The sequence below is a fragment of the Homo sapiens genome, chromosome 20 (genome assembly GCF_000001405.40).
Source record: "Homo sapiens chromosome 20, GRCh38.p14 Primary Assembly".
In the NCBI taxonomy this organism is placed as follows: Eukaryota; Metazoa; Chordata; class Mammalia; order Primates; family Hominidae; genus Homo; species Homo sapiens.
Genome location: NC_000020.11, coordinates 8,285,894 through 8,311,823, shown reverse-complemented (window position 1 = coordinate 8,311,823; position 25,930 = coordinate 8,285,894). Strand labels below are relative to the sequence as shown.

The 25,930-nt window shown below is 38.7% G+C and overlaps 1 protein-coding gene across 2 annotated transcripts in view, besides 1 other annotated feature; it reads right to left on the bottom strand.

Moving 5' to 3' along the window:
• The window catches only part of PLCB1 (phospholipase C beta 1), a 752,635-nt gene that overhangs the window by 573,077 nt on the left and 153,628 nt on the right, over positions 1-25,930 (bottom strand). The window lies entirely within an intron of this gene.
• Positions 1,825-2,434: an enhancer, noted in NCBI's record as "NANOG hESC enhancer chr20:8290037-8290646 (GRCh37/hg19 assembly coordinates)". NCBI's record gives its function as "activates a minimal SCP1, AML or CMV promoter by ChIP-STARR-seq in primed H9 embryonic stem cells {active_cell/tissue: H9 hESC(primed)}" and the evidence as "EXISTENCE:reporter gene assay evidence [ECO:0000049][PMID:30033119]".

Genomic DNA, 25,930 nt, shown 5'->3' with positions numbered 1-25,930 from the left:
ACTTTAGGGCATCAATTGACAGCCACATTCCACAAGATTTGACTGCCTCAGCCACCACCTCCTTGGCCTCTTACCCAAGTTCAAGTGGCAACTTAAAAAAGCCAAAGTACTGGTAAGGGCAAAAGATCACTCCGGAGTTATGATAGCATTTCTGTGCTACTCCAAGGGCTTTCCGAATCACTAGACATGCCAATGTCTGACAAATGATACGTTTAATAGAGATGAACCCTAAGCTCACCCTGAGAAACAAGATTTTGGATGCCACCCAATCAGAGGCACAATCACAGATGCCTTTTCTCTCGTTTCTAAAAAGGAAGATGGATCAAAGTGAAGTACAAATGATCCACTTTCCAACTCAATCAAATCCTCCCTGACCACATAAAACTATAAATGAATGCAGAGCTTCAGGAAGCAGATATCTTCCCACATGGCTCTAGAGATTCACATAAGTATTTGAAATAGCAGAATAAACATATCTATTCATGATTTCTAAATTCTGCCAATTGAACTGCCACAAATCATACCACCTTTTCTCAGTTTCTAGTTTTTCTAAGTCTTTGATAACGATCACTCTAGATTTTACAATGAAGAACATTATTTTTACAGATTGTTTTTTACATTCAGGTAAAATTTATATACAGTGAAATGAATACATCCCAAGTGGGCATTTACAAGTTTTGATGAATGCACACACATAACCTAAACTCCTAACAAAATATAGACCATTTTTTATTCTTAAAAAGCCAAAAAATAACAGATGTTGGTGAAGCTGTAGAAAAAAGGGAAAGCTTACTCATTGCTGGTGAGAGTAGTATAAAACTGTAGCACTAATCACAACAGAAAAGACATGGCATCAACCCAGGTGCCCATCAGTGGGGGTGCATATACACCATAGAATACTATGCAGCAGCCACAAAAAATAACAAATCATGTCCTCTACAGCAACGTGGATGCAGCTAGAGGCCTTAATCCTAAGCAAATTAACACAAAGCCAGAAAACCAATATCACATGTTCTCACTTATAAGTGGGAGTTAATCTTGGGTAAACACAGACATCAAGATGGAAACGATAGACACGGGGGCTCCAAAAGGAGGGAGAGTGGGAGGGGGTCAAGGACTGAAAAACTATCTGGGTGACGGGATCAGCATCACACAATATATCCTTGTAACCAACCTGCACATGTAACCCCTGAATCTAAAATAAAAATGGAAATTAAACAAAACAAACAAAAGATAAATGATGATTAATGGACCATTTTCATCACCCTAGACAGCCCCCAAATACCCCTTTCCAGGCCATCCCTGTCCCAGCACCCAGAGGCAACTGCTGTTTCTTTTTTCACCATAGATTAATTTGGTTTGTCCTATAAATTCATCTAAATGCAATAAAACAGTATATACTCTTGGTAAAAGGCTTCTTTCACTCAGCATCATGTTTTGAGATTGATCCATAAGCTTGGGACTAACAGTTGAACTTCATTCAACTTTGTGTTGCTAAGTAGTATTCATTGGTGAAATTTACAACTAAACATTTTCCAGCTTTTGTTCAGATGATTCAAATTGATTAGAAAGCTGATTTCGATAATTTGTTTTAAAAACATGATTTCCTTTAAAGAAAATATTTCCAAAGGGATGGGGAAATTTTTTTTCCACTAGAGAGACCCACCGTAACAAAAACAAAAGCTCTGAAGGTAAACTCCTTGAAATCCATTTCTGCTCCACAACAAAACCACAACAAATCTCTCTTTTAATCACTGAAATGTTTGAAACTGATTAAAAGATAGTTGAAAAAAAAAAGAAAACACTAAAGATTACACAGTAGAAATTTTATCTTTAAGACTCATTGCTGACCTAAGAAAACCAATCAACCATATCAGTACTTAGGCATAGCAGTAGCAATATATAACCTGAAGAAAAATTCCCTGGGTGCTTTATTTCTGGCAAACTCCCTTAATTGGCTAGCGTGCTAATCCCTTTCTTAGAAGAACACTTAGCACTGGAAATGTGTGAGGCAAACACAAAAATACAAGTCCTGGTTTGGTATGCAAATCAGCACCATGGAAACCAGCATGGCATTGCTGAGCTCAGGGCAATCAGCAGGGAGCAGATGAGCTATGAATCAAAGCCCGAAGAAAACTGCTGTCAACGGAATTATGGACGCGATTGCTTCTCACCCTATAGCTGCTCCCTTTGATTCTGAACTAGGAGACTTAAACTTGACACTTCAATGGACTAGGTCATCATGGGACTTCTATTTCTCATTTGTAGTCCCAATTAACAAAACTATTAGCCAGTTTGAATATAGTTGTCCAAGTATGACATTGTTCTACTTACTATTTCCAGTCATAAGAAAAACACTGGTAGAAATCTGGAGGATGTTATGTTTTCTTATTCAACAACAAGAAGAATGCTTTTCCTATGTAGGCCATTACAGCGGCATAGGAATTCTCTTGTCCTTAGTTCTATCTGCAGGACCTTTGTAGACCAGTAAGGTCTTGTGCATTATTCGGGGGTAGGGAGGATTTCCCTCTGTGCCTCGTAGAAGGATATTTTCAAGGATTAATCAAATCATTTTTAGAAAAGCATACCCCCTTGTTCACAGAAGTCCTTCTCTTATCCAAGTGTCTCCCCCAGTCTCCTCAGAAAGAAAGCCATGGGCAACCTACTGTTGTATAAAACCAGAGATTCTCCCACCTCAGATTCTTCATTCCCAAAATAAAATGGGTCAGAAAAATACTATTCCTCCCAGCGCTAACAGTTGATGATCCCATGAACCACACTACTTACTAATTTACAATGTTTTTTTTCCCCCAATAATACTCAGTTCTAGGTCCACATTTAAAAAAAAAACTATATGGATTTTAAGTCAACAAATCTGAGATTTTTTAAATATTAAAAAGAAAAAAATCTATGAGTCCCTATCTGGGATTCAAAATGAACTACACTACAAAGGCAGAAGAAGTACAATGCTATGAATGGCAGACATTATTATTATTTTTTATTATTATTACACTTATTTAAGAGTTATGACCAAAAAGTACTGAGAGAGCACTGATTAAGCTATGGACGCTACCTGGGTCCAAATCCCACCTCTTCCACTTACTAGTGATCTCTGACAAGTTATGTAGCCTCCATGTATTTCAGTTTTCTCATCTGTAAAACAGGAACATTCATAGTTGTCCTTTTTTTTTTTTTTTTTTTTTTTGATATACGGAATCTCGCTCTGTTGCCCAGACTGCAGCGCAGTGGCACGGTCTCGGCTCACTGCAACCTTTGCCTCCCAGGCTCAAGTGATTCTCCTACCTCAGCCTCCCGAGTAGCTGGGATTACAGGCACCTGCCACCGTGCCCAGCTAATTTTTGTGTTTTTATTAGAGAGAGGGTTTCACCATGTTGGCCAGGCTGGTCTCGAACTCCTGACCTCAGGTGATCCGCTCACCTTGGCCTCCCGAAGTGCTGGGATTACAGGCATGAGCCACTGCGCCCGGCTGAACATTCATAGTTCTTTACTCAGAAAGTCCCTATGAAGATTAAATTGGTTAATATTTAAAAGAATATAAATAATTTGGCAGATGGTAAGTGCTATATATGTGTTTATTAAATAATAAATTAAGGGCAAGTATTTTGCTCAGAAAGAATTAGAATAAGGTCTTCCTATCTCATGTGGTTTTAATTGCTGGCTATAATATGAAAAACTGTCTCCTTACCAGGAGAAGGTCTTCTGCATAAAGCACAAAGCAGCAATGCATTTTGTTTATTTGACTCAAGTAAAAAGTTCAGGAATAACTACTTTGATATTTAAAGTTCTCTATAATGCAGACAACAAATAGCTCTAGAAAAGGAATAAACAGCCACAAGTCAAGTATAGGTGTTTTTGTTTTGTTTGTTTGTTTGTTTGTTTTGAGATGGAGTCTTGCTCTGTTGCCCAGGCTGGAGTGCAGTGACACTATCTTAGCTCACTGTCAACATCTGCCTCCCAGGTTCAAGCAATTCTCCTGCTTCAGCCTCCCGAGTAGCTGGGATTACAGGCGCGTGCCACTATGCCCGGCTAATTTTTGTATTTTTAGTAGAGACAGGGTTTTACCATGTTGGACCAGGCTGGTCTCGAACACCTGACCTCAGGTGATCCACCCACCTCGGCCTCCCAAAGTGCTGGGATTACAGGTGTGAGCCACCGTGCCCAGCCCAGTGTTCTTAACTAACAACATAATTAATGATTAATTGGGATTAGGTGGGGAAGTGCTGAACCAAAAATAAAAAACCCACCAAAAACCCTCAAAAACTAACAAAAAAAACCCCCACCAAACCAAAAGCACAAAAAGTTCAAAACCTCATTAACATTAAAATACTGTCTAAATGCTAAAGGTGGGCAGTCAGGTCGTCGACAGATTATTCCAATTGACAATCTGTAGTTAATCAATGGATTGTTCAATTATTTAATCAGCATTACCTCTGTAGGTTCAGTATCCATAATTCATTTGAAGCTGACACCAGAGAGAGAAGGAAAGTCATTTCTGCTTCATTATTTTAGAACCAGTTAAAGCTGAATCCAGAGACAGAGCCTTTCAACTGACCCCTCAGAATGCCCTGCCTGCACCCACACGTGCCCATGCCCACCCCCCTACTCCCACTCTTAGGTCTCCAGGCATGCTGCCTTTACAATAAACACTACCTTTAGCCATTGAAACGTGGAAGCTTTTGTTAATTCTATTTAAAGACTATGCAGGATGCCAGCTAAATGTCCCGTTTTACATCATCCCTCACCAGACCTGACAGTTGGAAACACTTAGTTCTGCTCTGCTTCCATTGTGTTCCTGAAGTCATTTGAATGATTTAAATCAGAGATAAGTATTTGCAAATGAGCTGAAGAAATAAAGATGTATCTGAAAACTCGAAACCACCTTGTTAAGAATGTGCTCAGTTCTAGCTTAATTCTTGAGGATTTGGTTAATGCTTGTAAATGGCAGCAGCAGCTCTTTTCTGATGGTAACATTTCATGGTTTAGCTTTTAAAGAGTCACCGCCTCCAAGTGTTTTTAAAAATTCCGTTAAAAGATTCCTTAAACTGTTCACGTACAAAATTGAACAAAAAAATTGGGTAAAAGGAGAGTTCTTCATTCACTTTGCAATATTTTCATAACCAATATTAAAACAACAATAATTTTAATATAATCCCATTAGATGGGGCATCTGTTGTATGCCTGCACTAGGCTATTCGCATTACAGACATTACTTCGCTTGATTCCAAAGACATCTCACAAAGTAAGCATCACAAGCTCCACTTTACAGATGAAAATAACAAGGATTGCAGACATTAAGGAGCTTGCCCAAAGTGAGAAGCCGATCTAGGAGTCAATCCAAAACTTAAGTAAATCTGACTCAAATGAAACAAGTTTCCTTCTTATATTTGACTTGTGCAGAAGATTCTAGTTTGACATGACCACTGACCTGCAGGTGGCATTTCTGGGGCACTTCTAAATGTCTCCAGGAGTCCAACTGGAACCTCTCAGTCATAATGAATTCATTTTGGATGGAGAGGAAAAGTTGAAGACTTGTCTGAGACACTGAGTCTTTGCTCTTTCCACCCTTTTTTGCTCCTTCTTTTCCAACAAATCACTTACTCCCTGCAGCCAATCTTTGCAAAGTGCAACCCAGTGAAGCAATTCATTCTATAATGAGAATAGTCCATCGGCTAAACATCCTCTGAGAGTGTTTAAACTTCAAATGAAAAATGCATTAATCCCAACAATTCTTTAAACACCCCAACAGAGGCAGATGTAAGAGAACAAGTCCTTATTTTATGCTTCCGAAGCCCATTTCTGGAGGCATCCTAGCCCACCATCTGCTGCTGCTCCCAATCATGAGGATACCACACACATGGGTTCAATTTACCTTAGCAGCCCACAAGTCACTCTCCAGGCTCAGACTGTTTTCTCATGTGCATCTCTATAAAAATCAAAGCTAACCACTGCAGCGGCACAGAAATGAGTGTTTCAGTACATAATTCCGTCGCTAAAGGCTGAATCTGTACTGCAGCCGATGTAGGGTGAGGGCCTCAGAGTTGAGGAAGAGATATAAATAGCAAGGTTTATAGGGGTTCAGGGAACTAACCTTGTGGATGTTTAGCCTCCGAATGCCTCAAGTCAAATCATAAACCGGAACTCACCTTACCCTTTCTCTTGGACCACTAGAGGGCGCTAGTCGCGACTAGCAGGGCTGAGCCTTACAGGAAGTGGACTCATCATGCCTTTACCACAGGTGGTTGGCACCTGCAGGGAGCCGCACCTGGTTACAGACCCCAAGGTGTGTTTGCAAAATGGGAACTCCATGGTTTTGGCCCAGAAGCACACGAGTTCAAATCCTAATTCTGCTGCTTCCCATTATCTTTAACCACTTTGAGCACATTTCTCACTAGGAAGAGTATTTTGCTCAGAAAGAATTTGAAGGTTTTCCTGTCTCATGTGGTTTTAATTGCTGGCTATGAAAATATGAAAAACTGTCTTCTTACCAAAAGAAGGTCTTCTTCATAAAGCAGCAATGCATTTTGCTTGCTTGGCCCAAGCAAAAAATTCTGGATTAACCATTTTCATATTTAAGGTTCTCTAAAATATAGACAATAAATAGTTCTAGAAAAGGAATAAATGGCCACGAGTTAAGTACAGGTGTTCTTAATTAACAACATAATTAATGATTAATGGGGATAGTATGGGGAAGTGCTGGACCAAACAACAATAACAACAACACATCCTCAAAAACAATGATTGCTGACTGTTCAAAGGATTAATCAGACCAACTAATCTATAGTTCCTAGCATATAGCCAGTGTGGAGTAGATGATAGCAATGTCAGTTCCCCATAGAAAACTAGCAATGGCTCTTGTCTCCAGGACAGGTATGGCTGAAATAGACAAATGAGGACATGAGAAACTTTATAGTGCTGGGGTTAAGAGTGTGGAATAGTGGATTCAGATCCTGGTGAGCAAGTTTCTTAATCTCTCTGTGCCTCATTTTTTCTCTGTAAAATGGGATAATCCTAGTAACCAGTTCATACAGTTGTTGTGAGGATTATGGGAGCACTTAGAACACTGCCTGGCCCACTGGAAGCATTCTGTATGTATTGGCTATTTATTATTACAATAGTAATTAGAATTTACATAAGAGCAAGTGGACACACCCACACACACACACACAAAGCACTCTCAAAGAAGATAGGAAAAGCTCAGAGATGTTTGTCCACAGAAGAGGCCCCTCAGGGGGAGTGTGAGACCTGCCTTCCCCTTTTATTAAAGAGCTATCAAGCAGAAGAAGGTTTTTGATTCATTGTGTTTGGCCCTCAGGGATAAACCAGGCTCAATGGATTTAAGCAACAGGGGATTCGTTTTTGCTCAATTTTAAGAAAAAATGAAAACTGGCTGAGCTGCTCAGAGATGAAACAGGCTTCTCTTAGAAGGGGGTAGTTTCTGGCCACAAGAGGAGTTCAAGCAGCAACTGGACACCCCTTTGGCAGAAGTAGCCCCAGTGTACTGTAAGCACTGACTGAATGATGAAAACAGCTGACCTTTAAGGACCTTCTCAAGACTGAATCTTAATGACAACATGATAAATAATGAAGCCAGAAAAATAGACAGATTCTCCATAAAAATTGCAGGCTACATGATAGAGATACTGACAAAATGCCCTTGAGTCCATCAGATTTGGTCCCCATTTTTTACTGGGCCAGGACTTACTGTTTGGTGTTTGTCCATACCAACTACCCCCTTACAGACAGAGAGCTGTCATAGGAGCTTGCTCACTTCTTAGTCTGAGATGATCTTTCAAGAAAACAGCAAGAAATGCTATTCATTTGAGATGAGGACCTGGTTTTTGGTGAACCATTCCATTTTAATTCATGGCTTATTGGCAATCACTCATTTCCTGCTGGAAATTAATTAAGGCTTGTGTTCTGCAGGAGCTGGTGTTTGCTTTGAATCCTAGACCCTACTGCCAAAACTTTGAAATGACAAAAACACATCTCCAATTTGGGACTCGATGAGGCACATTTGAAGAGCCCCCTGTCGTTCTCAGCTATTCTAATCTGAACAATGTGCTATAAATGTTCTCAGCAACAATGCACAGGGTGGATTTCAGCCACCTGGAAGTGCCTGCTGATTTTACTAAGGAAGAAAAGTGTCACTCGGACTGGACATAAAAAGCCATTTCAAAGCGTAAAAAGTAGTATTTTCACTGTTTAGAGATTTTTAAATTACCCTCTTTATATTGTGCTTCTGTAATCCTTTTATTAAAGAAGTAATGCTCTATGTACAAAAAAGGATAGTAAAATGTCACTTAACTAGAACGCAGTATTCCAGTTAATGAGTTTTCTGTTTAACAGGGGGCCATGATTTATCACTTCCCTAGTTTCTTACCTAAATTTCTTTTAAAATCTATATTCATCTTTGTGGCACTCCTGAGCTTCTGTCTGCTCAGGAGGGTAAGTATCTCTTCTGGTAGTTTTAAGAACTAGCAACAACACTTGCCATAAAGGCAAATTGTGCCCAGCAACAAATGACTGAGGAGATAAAATCATGACCTTTACGTTGAAACCCCGGATCTATACAAAGAATAGGTAACAAGGAGGAAACAAGAAACATTTTTTCAGCCCAGATGCTCTTCTTATGTTCTGAGAAGCTGCTCATGGGAGCAGACCTTCTATTTCGGGGACATACAGAGGATATATAATATGGAATCAATTCTACTTTTACAAGGAAAGGCTACTCCTTACCTCTCTTTGTATAGATATTTCCAATCTCTGGAAGTACACAAAGCTTTGTCATTGATCCCTACCTCACAGCATAGCAGTGGGTACACCCAGTATAATCGGTTGCAATTCTATTAGCCTATTTTCATCTTCAATCTTATTATATCAAGACTGTCTTCCACCATCTTCAAAGATCCCTCCCAATGTCTAGATGTTATATTGTGGTATAATATAATATTTAATAAAGAAGATCATTCCTTGAAAAATAAAAGGGACCCTATTTTTTATTTGAAAAACACAGAAATAATTTTGTCTTCTGACACAATTTGTATATAGATAAATGAAGGGGTATGTTAAAAAATAAAATTAAAAAAATTAAAAAACTGAAGAGGCATTAGCGTATGTAACTTACATTGTATACAAGCAGCAATGATTGGAATCCTCTTTAATCAAAGAAGAAAAAAGTTAGATATTTAAATTCTGAAAACATGATGAAGAGATGCATTCAATGCATTGCTATCAAATTTCTAATTGAAAGCCAAAGTTTTAAATAGCTAAAGCACAACACTGATTCCTGACATTAGATAAAGTATAATTAAAAGTCTAATTTTGACGCAATCGAGCCTGTTTAAATTGGACTCATAGCAGAATGAAATTGGCCCCCTATTTGGGCCACATTATCAAGTTGCCAGGGTCTTGAAAAACTGTCATGACATCTGCAGATGCTATCATGAAAGAGAAGTAGATCCCCGAATTAGCAAATTGCCTTGTGTTCCTCCATAAAAAATTAAGTTTAGTTTAAGAACCTTCATTACTTTTCTTGACATACTAACAACTGTTCACTGAAGATCAAATATATCTAAAACAGTAGGTTAAAGCTTGCAAAGAATACAAAGAGAAGGTTCTAACCGTTCCACTAATAGCAACTACAGCAAGAAAATGAAGAAAAATTCTCAACGAATGAGAGTCCATTTGAAAGCATAGGTGCTTACATGTACTGAGTTCTTACTGAGCACCATGCACTGTTCAAAGTATTTCACATTTACTGACACTTTTACTCTTCCCAGTAAACCTAGGAGTTAGTTGCCGATATCAATTCTATCTTAGGTATGAAGCAGTTGAGGCAAAAGGATTAAATGATTTGTCCAAAGTCACAGAACCAGCAAATGGTGAAGGCAAGACTTGAATCAAGGCAGTCTGATGCCAAAGCCACATTCTTGACCACCAGATCCTAACTCCTGGAGATGACGTAAATACTGCAAATGTCCTGGCATATTGCCGTGCAAACTCAAGGCACAACTCCAATTATTTCCCGAGGATAAATCCTTCAAAGCAAATGTACTGGGTCAAAGCATTTGCACATTTTAAATTTATACCTAGTGCCTAGATGTTGAGTAGAGCCTGGGCTGTCAGGAAAGGTGGGGGAGGGTATTCCAGACGGTAGAAACAGCATGACCAGAAGGACAATGGGGATCACAACCCAGTGGCAGCAGGAGTTGCATGTGTCTAGTGTGTGGAGGATAGCATGGGACGTGGAATGGCGGGTCATGGTGGAGCAGTGGGTGGTGGCTCTCTTAGCATTCTGGCTGCCTTTTCTCTCATTGGATTTATAATCCCCTTGATTCCTTGCAATTGTATTCAATTGTACTAATGCTGTTTGCATTAATAATTTGCTAGAAAAAGAAAGTATTATGGATCTTTCAGTCCTTCCTGGTTCTTAAATTCCCCTGAAAACCCTTGAAAATAGACAGCAAATGATTTGACTATTAAATTATGAGGTGCCAAATTCAGCTCTTTAAAAGCAGCTTCTTTTCTTTGCACTATAAGAAAGTATTACTAACAAAAATGCCAACCTTGGCATGGAAGATATTGCAGAACATGGCATTACCAGAGTACACATTGTCTTAGGTTACACTCCTCAAAGGACAGCTGAATTTTCAGGGATACAGTAGAGTTTCTCCAGCTGCTTTGACTGGGTCCTGTAATAATGGAATTGTAACCAGCAGAAATAGGCAGGCAAGGCTCTCCGTAATGCAGCATTGTAGAACTGACTCCTGCCCTGACTCTGGTCCAGGGTGAGAAGTACATCACAATCACAGCCTCGGGAACTGGTACATTTCCCAAAAGGCTCAATGAAACCAGAGGCCTTGTAGTAGGAGGGCCAATTTATTAGCTGAAGTCCTTATCTTTACCTGCAGGTGTAAGCAGCACTCTAGCCTGGGGCTATAGTGAGGATATATCATCTGCACCTTGAGAATTCCACTGCCAATCCATTCCTGTCTTCCACTCCACATTTACTGAACACTTAACAATGTACCAGGCATTGTGCTAGGCTCTGTGAGTGAATAAACAAAAGGGAGCTCCTTTCTCTGGGCTCTCATGAGGCTTACAAGTTTGGGTAGTACATAGTTCTTTAAAAATAACATACCTAATGCTAAATGACGAGTTAATGGGTGCAGCACACCAACATGGCACATGTATACGTATGTAACAAACCTGCACATTGTGCACATGTACCCTAAAACTTAAAGTATAATAATAATAAAAAAAAACCACTTCCAAACAAATGGCTATGGAGTCATAGAAAGGGTGCTGTGAGAGAGTATAAATGGGAGAGAGGTGAGACTCTAATTTGGGGAGAAAGGCCTTTCTGACCTAGCGTGGTGGATTTATGGCTTTAATCATCCTAATTCATCATCCTCTCTATATCCCCGTCCTTATTATGGAACTAACAGATCTCCATTCAGGAAGCAAAGTCTAATTCTCTGCCCCTTGATCACAAGCTAAGAAATGTGATTTGTTTCCGCCAATGGAATATTAGAAGATGTAACACACCAGAGCATTGAACAAATACTCGTACTTGATATCTCTACTTGTGCTGTTGTGCCTCTGTCATTCCCACGAGAACATTCCCTAGCTAGCCTATGGGAGGATGAGACACATGGAGCAGAACTGAGTCATCCCAGTCTTCTTAGCTGAAGCCATCCTAAGTCAGCCAGCAGCTCGATGATCCCCAGACATGTGAGTGAGCTCAGCCAAGGTCAGTAGAGTCATCAAGGTGAACCCCACCCACTCAAATGTGACAAATGCCTACTGTTGTGTTTTATGCCAGTGAGGTTTTGTTGTTGCTACACAACATTATTGTGACAAGAGATAGCTGATACATAAGGCAACATTATAGCTGCGCCCTGAGGAGCAGTGAGCCAAGTTAAGCAAGAGTAAGTCCTTGAGCCTTGAGAAAAAGTGAAAATGGAGAGAAGTGGGTGGATTTTAGATGTATTTTGGACATTAAATCAACAGGACGTGGTGGTGATAGATTGCATAGAAGATGAGAACCTAAGGGGTACCCAGAGAGACTCCTTGACATCCAGTTTGGGCAACTAAGTTGATAGCTAACGAATTTACTAAAAAGGAAAGATTGAGGAACAGCCGTTTTGGAGGTATATGAAAATTAAGAATTCAGTTGCAGTTGAGAAATCAGGGTGCATGAGAAACATGTAAGTGGAAATGTCAGACAGACAGCCTTAAACTCAAAAGGGGCATATGGAAGAAACAGTGACGTGAATTTGGGAGTGGACAGCAGGTATGTTTCCATCCATGAGATTGAATGATATGCCCTTGAGGCAAGACTGTTGATTGAGAATGGGAGAGTGCCTGGGCCTGAAAGTTGTGTGTGTGTCTACGTGTGTGTGTGTGTGAGATGGTTACTTGTATTCCAAGGCAAAATGACAAAAATGTAGATTTTATTGTGCATTCATCAAAAACACAAAGAAAGAAAGTACTCAAAACCACTGTTTTACAGCATAATTATTGGGCAGCTTGGCTTATACACCTTTATATGTTGGTCAGGATAATGGATAGAGAGAACAGACTAAGAGAGTCTAAACTGAATTCCAGCAGAAAGACATGGGGCCACTCCAGCAAGAAAAGACATTTGGTGTGTGATGCAGCATGGGAAGTACAGGTGCTATAATGTGTTGGCTTTGCCTCTAGAGGATTTTAGAAAGTTTTGCAGTCTCTCTTTTGCTACTTCTTCAGAAAAATGAATGAATAAATGAATGAATGAATCTAGTCTGTCTATCTACCTACCTATAAGTTGGTTCAAAAGTAATTGCAATTACTTTTGCACCAACCTAATACCTACCTGTCTATGTCTATAATCTTAATGGAGCGTGTTTATGGTTAAAGTGATGCTGTGCATAGCCTTTCCTATTAGCATAACACATGCCCCACACATCTGTTTGGTTATGTTTTAGATGCTCTGCTGCATTTGAATTCCTGTGTGCTATGTAATACCATCAGAGATTTGAATAGAAGAAATGCTGAATAAATACTTCTGAAATTAAAGAATAAATGGTTTTTACATGCAATTATTTATTTTTCTGAGCCAAGAAAACCCACATGCAAACAAAACCAAAAACAAAACAAGATTTAAATATTCAGATGAATAATCAATATTCCACACTGACTCATTACATGTTGAGGAAAAAAAAAAAAAGCCCCAATTCCACACTTCTAAATGGAATACTTAGTTCAGTCAGTGAATAAGGTTTTTTTCAGTATATTTACTTTAAAGCATGTCAGTTTAAAAAAATAAATATTAGAAATATTATCAAGATAATAATGAGTAGCTTGAGGAACAAGAAAAATATGTTGGTTTTTCTCTCAGCATCTGCTAGTCACAAGCACTCTTTAAAGGATAACACAAACTCTACCAATTACTCTTGTCTCTTGTGGTGCAGACGCAGAGCTTTATATTCTTGATTCAAGTTCTTGCATCTTTTTTTTTTTTTTTTGAGACATAGTCTTGCTCTGTCACACAGTATGGAGTGCAGTGGTGTGATCATGGCTCACTGCAGCCTTGACCTCCAAGACTCAAGCGATCCTCCTACCTCAGCCATCCAAGTAGATGGGACCACCCATGTGCACCACTATATCTGTATATTTTAATTATTTTTGGTAGAAACAGGGTCTCACTATGTTGTTCAGGCTGGTCTTGAACTCCCGAGCTCAAGCAATCCTCCTGCTAGGCCTCCCAGAGTGTTGGGATTACAGATGTGAGCCAAGCACCCAGCCTCTTGCTTCACCTTATTAAAGATAATGGGCATTTGATGGGGACTGTGATTTAAAATGGCAAACAAGAAGCATGTGAGCCTGCAAAATCATGCAGTGAAGATTTTGGCAAAAAAAAAAAAAAACCCAAAAAGAAATCTACTAAGGTGGTAAGACAGCAAATGAATGTTGAGGTTTAGAATTGAAGGTGGCCTCTCTAGGGGCTGCACATATTATGCAGGCAGAATTCACTGAAATTAATAGCTCTTGACTGACCAAATGGCCAGAGCTTCCTGAAAAAATGCCCTGCTGTTATTTCTAACAGTGATGTCTATGCCTCACCTTTTAAAATCCTTCTCAGTGGTTGTGCATTAATGATACTGATATCCTCAGAATCCCAAGAAAGCTTTCTTTTGCCAATCAATACTATCCACTCTCAGCCACCCCTCAGTGGTTATAACGATTATTACTTGGCATTCAATTGCCTTTCTCCATTTTCTCCACTTCCCTTTTGGAATTTTTTATCAATAAACAAAGAGGCCATGTTATTTAGTGGCTTTTTCATATACTACTTTTGTATTGACTAATTTGTATATCGATGTACTCAGCTAATTTCCAGATATTGAACATTATTACTATTAACATGGCTAATCAACTTTTTTGAGTGTAAATTCATTTTTTCTACAGAAATGGGGAAAGATTGACAATTTTCAATATGGAAAAGAAACACAAGTGGTATAGTCGCATACTAGGTCCATCTTATCCGCAATTTTATACGTACATTTTATACTTATAAACATACACATATAGATATACACATATAGATATACATGCATATGTATAAATATATACATGCATGTATACATGCATATGCACATACAGGAGTATGCATGTATATATGTATGCATATATATTGTGTGTACATGTACATATACATACATCTATACAGATGTATATATAGGTGTGTGTGTATGCATGTGTTTGCATGTGTGTGTATATATATACATATACACACAACTATATGTACTCAAGTTCATTCAAAGCAAGATAAATGATGATATACTGAGATAGAAAAGGCTGCGACTGAGTAGAAAATACTTTGTATCAAAAAAATGAACTTTCAAACTCTCTCATCTTCCATATAAATGGTTACTCAAACATATGGTCATTTCATGATATATAATGTCTGCATGAAGCTACAACGATGGAAAAGCATTGTACATTTTCATAACCTTTCTCTAGGTCTGCTCCACACTTTATGAAGCATCCCCGATGACTCCAGACATTTGCATTTACATCACACAGTGCTGGTGGGACAGGGGGATCAATAAAGGCTGGGCTCAACCACAGCCAATGAAACAAAACACCCAGAGGAAGGAATGCCAAACAAGGAGACATAATTCAGAAAGAAAGGGCTATGTACACATTCCATCCCTCTGCTCCTTCTTTTTCCTTAAATCACCTTTCCTCCTAACCTCAAGACAACTGTTCACAACTACAAAGTTAATGGGAAAAGGGACCTAAAAGACATTGCCTAGGCCAATAAACATGGTTATTACCTCAGCTAGACAAAATGTAGAGAGCTCTCGGGTTCTTGGAGGGCATATACTTGTCCTTGTTCCCCACTGTCAGGACTAAATTAAAGTTAAAAAGGTTCAGAGCACAGCACGGAAGTGAGGACTCTATTAATCTGTATGATTCCTGAAAGAACACTGACGGGTGATGGGAGGTGACTCCAAGTAATTTCAGAGGACAGATGGATCACACACAGTGTTTAAGACACAACGTTGTACAAAACAGGCTTGTAAGTTTCTCATGTATGTCTTTCTACAGCAAGACATAATTAGGTGATTAACTTGACATATTCAATGGCTAATTACTGACAGAACACCACATATTCGTTTTAAAAATGTTCTGATATCTGGTCTTAACATGAAAATAATTGCAGTGACTATCTTAATATAGATTTCAATCCTCTGTAGTATTTGGTTGAGACGAACTCACCCCATAAACTTAGTCAAAATTGGTTCAGTAATCTTTCTCCTGTTAAAAATAAGTAAACTTGGAGGAGGTAGAGGTGGGAGGATTGCTTGAACCCAGGAATTTGAGACTAGCCTAGGCAACAAAGTCAGACCCCATTTCTACAAAAAAATAGAAAAAAATCAGCCAGGCGTGGTGGTGTGCAACTGTAGTCCCATCTACTCGGGAGGCTGAGGTGGGAGGATCACTTGAGTTCGGGAGGTCAAAACTACAGTGAGGTATGATTGTGCCACTGCACTTCAGCCTGGGTGACAGAGACTCTGTCTCAAAAATAAAATAATAAAAAAGAGGATATATATATAGAGAGAGACTAAATGCCAAATGATAGCTAATATCCTTTGGCAAGTACATAAGTGAAAACATCAGTGAATTATTTTGGCTATAGATCAATCTAGAAAGCAGCTTTTATTTATTTATTTATTTTGATTAATTCTTTTTGGTTAGCAAACATAGATTTGGTCCATAATAGAGCCTAGAAATTCTTTTGTTTTAAGGCAAGATGTAAACATGACTGAAATAAGATTTTTGCCCTGGAAACTCTCATAATTTATTAGGAGACATGCAGAAAAATTCATATTTACAATACATGTGTAAAACATGAAAGTTACAAAATTTTAAAGGCTTACCAAAGAAACCTTTCCTCCTATCATATTTTAATATTATTTTGTTATAAATATAAAAATACTCAGCAATATGTGTATCACACATTTGTGTGTATTCTGTCATTATAATAAAAACCAATTTATCTACCTCCCAATTTAAAACATAGAAGGTTACCTATATCATTGCCTTGACCTATATATTCTTCCTGTATCACATCGTTTTGTCTACACACCCACCAGGAGAAAACACCTTGTTAAAATTCTGTGTTAAATGTAGTCCTGTTTCATTGTATAGTTTTATCCAACAGGTATTATCCACTATAATATGTTTAAAGTTATGTTTGCTTTGAACATAATGTATCATACTGCACGTAGTCTTTTGCATTTTTCTTTTATCTTTAAGGCTTATATTTCTAAGATTTCAAGATGTTGCTGCATGTAGCAGTAGTTCATTCATTTTTTACCACAGTGTAATATTCCAGTGTGGGACTATACCACTAGTTATTTTCCTATCGATGGTCATTTAAGTTGACATTATTAACATATTACTATCATCATTCTTGTGCAGATCCCTTGGTAAACTTGTGCTAGGCTTTTGGCAGGGTATATCCCTAAAAGTGGATTTTCTGGATTATAGGGAGTGTAATGTCTAATTGTACAGGATTGTGTGAAATTGTTTTCTAAATGGTGGTGTCAATTTAATCTTCCAACTAGCAGAGAACAAGCACTTCTGATAAGGCCATCTTATCAGGAGTGCTTGTGCTCTGCTAGTTGGAAGATTAGTCCAGGGTCATCTTACCTTCAATTTTATACTTAGATACATATACATATAGACATGTAGATATACACACATATACATGCATGCACATGTATAAATATGTATAAATATATACATGCACACATATGTGTAAGTATGTGTATATATATGCATATAAATTGTGTGTACATACACTGAGTCATAGGGTATGTTTCATATCCCTAATGACCCACTTTATCCTCAACTTTTGGTAATGTCAGATTTTTAAATTTTCACCAGTTTATTGGGTATATACAATATCTCACTGTGATATTAATTTGCATTTTCGTGATTAATGATGAAGTTTAGAATGACTGTGTCTACTGTCTGACCTGGATAAAGGGTGGAAGAAAAACTGTATGTCATTGTGGGAAGTCAGGAAGGAGAATATCATTTTTTGTAAACTGGGATATTTTGTCAATGTCTTGCATTGTGTTAGGTTCATACAATTTTTTTTCTAAATATATAATTTAGGTCATCCTCTAAAGAAGCTTACAATTTCACTAAGAAAATGACTTCTGCATTAAAAAGGTTGGGAATGAAAAACATTCCTCTCATTTCCAGCACACAGTGGATGTTCTATTAATCTTTCTTGAATGAACAATTGCACAAGACGTCCCAAGATGTGCAACTCAAATAGATCTTCTAGATGCCTCATGACCAACACGAACCTATCTTTTCTGCCACAGACCCGCCCTTTCTCTAGTCCCTTACTTCTCTGCAATGGCATCTGTGCCCACTCACTTTCTTAGAATGGGAAATGGTGTCATCCTTGACTCTGCTATCCCTTTCACTGGCCAGTTTTATCTACTGAATGTTTCCGTAGCTAAGTGATTCTCAAAGCATAGTACACAGATCTCTGGGGTTCCCCAAGACCCTTTGAGGGTCCCTGAGGTCAAAATAATTTCATAATGATATTAAGAGGTTATTGCCTTTTTCACTGAGATGAAATCTGCACTTTATACAAAAGCAATGCTAAAAAAAAAACTGCTTATGTCTTCATACAAATCAAGACAATGGCACCAGACTTCCAGTGTACCAGAAATCATTTGATTATTCATTCTACACACTCACTGTTAAAAACACACTTCAAGAATGTCATCCTTGAAGTGCTAAAAGTTATTAATTTTGTTAAATTTTTTTACTCTTTGTGGCTTTTCAAATGTTCTGTATGACAAAATGAGAACTATACATAAAATAATTCTCCGGTATACTGAAACACTTAGGAGACTGAGTTTTAAGCTGAACCAGTCATTCTTCCCAAGTAACACCATTTTTACTTGAAAGAATGACAGGAAAACTAGGGTTATTCAGACTTGGATATGTGACAGATATTTTCTTGAAAATGAATAAAGTGGGTCTATCAAGGTAAATAACTGACAGTATGTGTTGCCAATAATAAAATGCAAGCTACCAAGCAAAACTTAGAATTTTGGGAAGCTTGTATCCACCACTGTGAGCTTGATGGGCTTCTCAATATTTACAGACTTTTTTTTAAGAGATCAGTGGTGACATTAATGAATGTGACCACATATGACATCAAATCACACTGTGACCAAAAACCATGTTTTTGCAACCACAGTGTCAATCAAAACATAACACTTTAAAGTGATAAGCTCTTCCTACTATGGCTACTGATAGTGTATTCACCCACTTAACAAAAGGACCTACTATGTGCTACGTTCTGGGTACAGCAGTGGTAACAGATTTAAAAACCCAGACATTGTCCAAGGAGTTTTACATATGTTAATTAACTTAATGCTCACAATAATGTTATAAGAAATGTAACATTAAAAACCTCTTTTTGTAGTTGTGGACATTGAGCCATAGGAGTTGAGTAACTTGATTAATGTCACAAGCTTGTAAGTAATGGAACCAGGCCCCTTTTAAGTCAATTCATAATTATAGCATTATGCAGGACAATATGGTACAGCTGAATCTCATAACCGATTCTTTAAATTTCCTCCTGACTTTAGAATAACAGGAAGAGTTGACATTTCAAGCACCCTTACTAAGTGCCAGGCACCCTTCAAAGAGCTTCATGGGAATTAGTCCTCACACTGAACCTATAAGGTTAGGTACAGATTATGCACCCATTTTAAACATGAACAAACTGAAGGTCAAATACTTTATGTAATTTGTCATTGCTAAATATCTATGAAGAGTCTGGGAATCAAACTCAGGCCTTCTACTTCTTGAGACCCTTTTCTTAAGCAATTGGTTACATTTCACTAAAAAGCACAACTGTGCTTGAACAAATATGTTTAAGGTAACAAATAAGCCTATTACCAGACATTGAGATTAAAGAATCTTGATGTGTAACTAGAAAGGAATCAACTTTGCAGGCAAGCAGAAGCTTTTTGATTGATTCATCCAATCCCCATTCGACCCTAGAGTTATCTTAAAAGCTGAGTGATTTGAAAGTTTCTTTCTTCAGTCAGGCTCAGTTTTTCTAGAACTTTAGCTCCCTTAGAATTACCACAGAGGGTCATAAGCATAAAACCACACTGCAGTACTTTGAGGTATTTGAAAGCATTTTCAGAGTTAATTTGGACTCTATGGCATTTTCTCCACTATGTGCTGACTTTATAACCTACCCTTCACTATAACAGAGCCTGGGCAACATTCCAGAGATAGCACAGATAAACCCTTTAATATGTATTGGAAAGCATTCCAAAAGCCATCTGGGATAGGATCAGGGAAGGGCAGAAGGATTAACCTGTGAGTCAAAATTAGTTAATATATACATTTCATCAATCTTAATGTTATTTTCATGATAATACCACCATGACAATTTCTCAGTGCTTCAACTTCCCCATCTGTAAAATGGGAATAAAGACAGTACCTACACCATGGTGAAGTTATGAAGACTAGATGAGTTTAATTTGCCAAGTGCTGGTATGGTCTGGCACACGGTGAGCACACCCTTTGTTAATTAAACTAAAACAAAAATGAAAATGTGCCATCGAGTTGTGTAACAAAACACAAGAAGTTGAATGTACATTTCCAAATATCAACAAATAAATCATGGTTTGGTTTTGAAATCATCCTCGTTGTCTGTAGTGTCTATACACTCACATGATTCCTAAAGAAATAGTTGAGAGGAACAGATTAATAACTAGTTGCTCCTGGGCTTCCACAAGTAGCTTCATGGTGGCAATAACAGAACCCAAAGGGAAAGCTGTTCTTGGACCTTGAGCCCAGTTTCAGTGGCCCCACTGTTTTTGCTGTTTTCCTTGTTTTGGGCAGGAATAAGGCTCACAGGTGGGCAAACAGCAGCTGGGCCTGGGAGGTGGCAAGAAAGCCTGTGTTGTGCCAATCAGAACACTCAGAGAACAACACCCTGCAAGCAGCAGAGCCTGATCAGGAGCTGGATTTATTTTTCATTGACCTGGAAGGCACTATTTTATTCCTCTTTTGCCTTTGACAATGCTAAACACAAATGTTGCATTTTCAAGATTAAATCTTAAGCCCACAAAAAATTACTGCAACACAGAAGCTTCTACTCAATTTTCAGTTTGATGGGGCATTTCTTTTCTCATTTCTTTTTTTTTTTTTTCACAAAAAGATTGTTACTGGAGGGTCCACTAAAAGCCAAGTCACCATGAGGTCTATTCTGAGCACTGATGAATAAAATCCCAAAGCACTTTACACTATGCACAATCTTGTCAATAGTTGTAACTTATAATTTATATAATTTATAGTTATAATTTATGTTCTTCCAAATGGTGATACAGTGTTGTATTATAAAATGTAAGATGGACAACTGCCTTAGTTAAAGGTCTTCAAGTCAGTGGCACAGGAATCTTGATTATGGGCTCTACACAAGGTCAGGGGCAAGCGGCTGGGAACTGGGGAGAAGTCACTGGTGCACAAAAGGTCAAAGCAGCACAGTTTATATTTGGACATTGTAACAGACACTGTGTTCTCTGTCTATATCCCCTTGCCATTTATTATTCCCAGGTAGACCCAACCCTACAGCTTCAAGTGCAAGCGCTTTCATCTCTTTGATGGAGAGTTTTCTCTGGCTGTCAAAACCAGCCAGGCCTATGTCCAGAATGCTTGGAGTTAATGTGAAAAAGTAGCCCTCAACCCAGGACTGATGTGATTGGTGACTTGTTCCTGGTTGGAATAAAACCTAAGTGTGAACCTGTGCTGTCTCCTAGACAACTCCATAGATTGAACACCAGCTGCCCATAATATGACTTATTTGACAATGCATCCCCTATTTGGCTTCCTCCTCTCCCTGTCTCACTTTCCCATTCTTGGCAGGTTTCCTGGCACGACCTTCCAGAAAACTACTTGCATTCAGAGTCCTTGTCTCGGAATCTCCTCCTGGGGGAACCCAAACCAAGACAGAGTAATCCAGGATCTTCTCTTGAGTTCTGGAGTCAATTTTTCTCTTTTATGTCTGGACCTCAAAAGCAAAATCAATTTCTATTTACCTATCAAATAAAAGCCAAGTTTCAGCTTTTTATAAACTATGATACAGCTGCCTTCTAACAGCTTTCAGGAAGCCTATTGCACCATTTTAGGGTACACAGTAAAAATTAATTAGACCCAAGGAAGCCAAGAAATCAATTAGAATGAATCAAGTTATAAATCTCCAGTTGCCTGCTGTTTTATATTAAATGTTGAAATATTACAAAAGATGAATCAAATGATCTTTGAGAAATTATAACTGCCATCATCCACCTCTATTAGGCACTGGCACTCACTCATTAGTTACTTTCAAGCCATTGGGAAACACTGTCAAAACTGCAGCCTAATGGTTTGGAGTCATGGGAGGCTGGAAGAGAAACTGACAGTGGAACAGTCTCCCATTGAGTCATGCTCGTTCAAGATTCCGAGTGTCCTGGGGCAGTGTATAGACTTTATTCACTGTGAGATCCACCAGAGGGATGCATTGTCTTTACTTGTTAGCCTGGTCAACCTGACTTATAACTTCATCTTTCAATAGAGGCCTTTATTCAGAGTATTTCAGGTGACACATTTGGGATTCAGGCTGCCTGGATTCAAATTCTGCTTCCATCTCTTGCCAGCTGTGTCATTTTGAGCACATGGCTTAACCTCTCTCTGCCTCAATTTCCTCATCTGTAAAATGGAAATAATAATAGAACCTATTTCACCGAGCTGTTATGAAGATTAATGAACAAATCCCTTGCCACTCTTAGTGTGGTCTGGAGACCAGCAGCATCAGCTTTCCCGGGAGTCTCAGTGGAAATGCAGTTCCTCAGGTCCCTCATCAGACCCACTGAAAGAGTCTGCATTTTAACAAGATCCACAGGGGACTTGTGTGCACATTAAAGCCTGAGAAGCACTGCTTTAGTCCATGTCAAGTGCTTGTTTAAAGCAGTGTTAGACAGGCTGAAAGCACTCAATCAATTCTAGCTATTACTATCTCAACTAATAAAGCACACACTAATAAGCAGACGACACTTGTTAGGAGTGAAGCATGCAGAAGCTGGAGAATGGGAACCCGGGTTGAAAAAGCCAGGATCTGAGGTGATCTGGATGGGACACTGATAGCATCCACTACAGTTGGGCATGACACAGATTTCCAAAGTTCCTACCTCATCCCGCCCCTACTCATTCAACAAATTGTGTCCCCGGTACCTAACTATGTGCCTGGCACTTGTTTAGAAACTGATGATACAACACTGATGTGCTCTGGAGCTTATGGTATCTAGTGGAAAGGAGACAGATAATAAGCAGTAAATATATAAATATACCTGCTATTTCCAGATAGTGATAAATGCTATGACTATACATAACAGAGTAATAGAGTGACTGTTGGAGGCAAGAAAGAGGAAGGTGGATCAGTAACTGTAGTTAGTACTTCCGTGCCCCACTCAGGTTCCCTTCACGGGGCCATTGCACCCATCCTGCAGATGCTGAAGGTGTCAGCTGCTAACAGCTGGCACCTCTACCGTTCTCTGAAGGACTGTTGTTGGCTGAGGAGTACCACCCTGGCCGAAGATGCCTGGAAGTTTATGCATGCACCTCTGGGAGAGGTAGGCTGCTGGTAGTCCATGACATTCTGCAGGACAGCTCTGTGGTGCAATTCCTACCCCAAAGCTCCCTGTGGGACCAGGTTGAGGCTAGACCTTCTGTCCCACCTTTACTTTATTTCTAATCCTACCCTATTTTTCTTTCTCACTCTCTTTCTCCAGAGAGCATTCCCTCCAAAAATCACTTGCATCAGAATCTCCATCTCAAGCTCTGCTTCTAGACCGTCTGACAAAAAATAGTAACTTCTCCTCTTCTTTCCAGAATTTTCTTTCTTTGACAGCCTCCCAGGGCAAGAGTTCCAGATATCAAGATGAATGGCTACTTCTCATTTTTTTGTAGCCTCCAGGCCCCTCAAGGACAAGAAGCTGACTAACAAGAAGCTCTATTTTAGTTCATATTGGCATCTGGATAGAAACGCAAGATAGAGAAGGGCAGACCTAAAACACAGCCTTCAAGTTCAGCCAAGAATTTCCAATGTACCGATTGGAGGGTCCTCTGCAACTAGCCTAAGTCAGTGGAAGAAATATAATAGACAGTTACACCTCAGATAGAGAAGTTCTTTGGTTTAGCACATGTCAAGTGCTTGTTTAAAGCAGAGTTAAACAGGCTAACTCTAGGGCATTTAATAAGCTGCTGCCAAATATATTCAAAATGGCTGCGTCCAACACACATCTTTGTCTTCTTCTTGATGAAGACATCTAAAATCTTTCTCTAAGTGTAATGTCAGTAAAATCTACCCAAATCCTCAATGCTTAAGCTTCATTGGTAATAAATAGGTTTTTAACTGGCCCCATGGACCTTAGCTTTAGGAGGCGTTAATGCAGCAAAGATCATTGTCACATGTAAATGCCATAAATTCCGTGAGTAATTACTAGTTTGTGTAGGTGACGTTGAGGTAATGAACAAGCCAAGAGGGTCCATGCTGATTCTTTGTACATCCATCAGGCAATGCTATGATTCTGCTGGCTTAATTATTACACCTTGTAAAGATGAATGCGGGGAACATGCCTGCCTTGTCGGCAGCCTCCCAGGGGACTGGTACTGAGTAATTGCTTTCCAGCCCTGTAGGAATCATCTACATGGAGCCACAGGCACCATCTGGCTCTCCATTCCTCCTCCACATGCCTTAGCAAGCCTCCTGGGGACAAGATGAGGTATTGGGGGTGGCAGTTACCATCAATAAGCTGGTGACATCTTATCCTCTTCTTTATTCTAATCACAAATTTTATATTATTAAATATTCGTGATCCCAGAAACACTGTGCTAAATATATAAAAAATCAATGTACATGTATATATTATATCACAGGCTACTACAACATCATATATAACACACTATTAAATATTAAATATATTTATACATAAACATAAATATGGACTAAGTTTACTTATACTGAGGTGAGATTGTTTTGGGATATAGAGTAAAGAGTCACACATGAATAGGTAGGAAATATTTAATAGACACCACTGTAGAATTTGTCTTGTTTTCTGAGGAAAGTACATTCCTTTAAATCTCTCTTATCACAAAAAATTCAACATAAAATCCTGTTGGATTAAAAAGTTAAATATTAAAATATTAGATGAAAAATTTGGATATGAGAATTTATATCCTTGGCTGGTCTTACTATATACAAAGCAAATGGAAGAAGTATAGACAAAAGTCCACTGATAATTTCTACAGTATGAGAATTTTCACCCTGTCCAGGCCAAAACCATGATACTTACTTACAAGGAGAACAGGAAACTGAGAAAGTATTATATTAAAAATAAAGCAGACAAGAGACTATTATATAGCAGCTACTATAAGGAGATCCTCTCTTTAATATAAGGAACTGGCAAATAAATCCCTGTGTTTCATTGAAGGACAGCGCTTAGAAAGATTCAAGAGCTCTAACATATAGTAGACAATAACTGTTGAATTGTTAAAAATTAATTAACAAAAGGAGGAATGGACAAAGAGCACACTCAGACAATTCACATGGAAGGAACTGTAAAGGATTAATGTACTGGATGCTGTGGGTCCCGTGCCCAGATCTGCTCTACTGGCCAACAGTCCATTATCTTCTGGTTCAAATACTTCTGGGAGTATGTATATATTGCTTCTATGATGAAATAGTAATATAAAATAATTTTTGTCAGTATATTGAATAACATGGAAATATCATTACATAATATGAGAAATCAGGAATCAGGGCAGTAAACAGGCTAAGTTAATGGCATTCACGTAAACTTGGTGCTGAGAAAATGTACCTTTTCTTTTTCTTTTGATATGGAGTTACACTCTGTCACCCAGACTGGAGTGCAGTGGCACCATCTTGGCTCACTGCAACCTCTGCCTTCAGGGTTCAAGCGATTCTCCTACCTCAGCCTCCTGAGTAGCTGGGACTACAGGCATATGCTACCACGCCCGGCAAATCTTTGTATTTTTGTAGAGACGGGGTTTAGCCATGCTGGCCAGGCTGGTCTCGAACTCCTGACCTCAGGTGATCTGCCTGCCTTGGCCTCCCAAAGTGCTGGGATCACAGGCATGAGCCACTGTGCCAGGATGAAAATTTATCCTTTTCTCTTATGCTATGCTTCTTGGATTCCTTATAAAATGACCAATGGACTACTATATGAAAGGACTAATGTATCCAGCCCTGAAAAAATACCATCAATATTTGAGAAACATAAATATTTAGCTAAATATTAGTGAG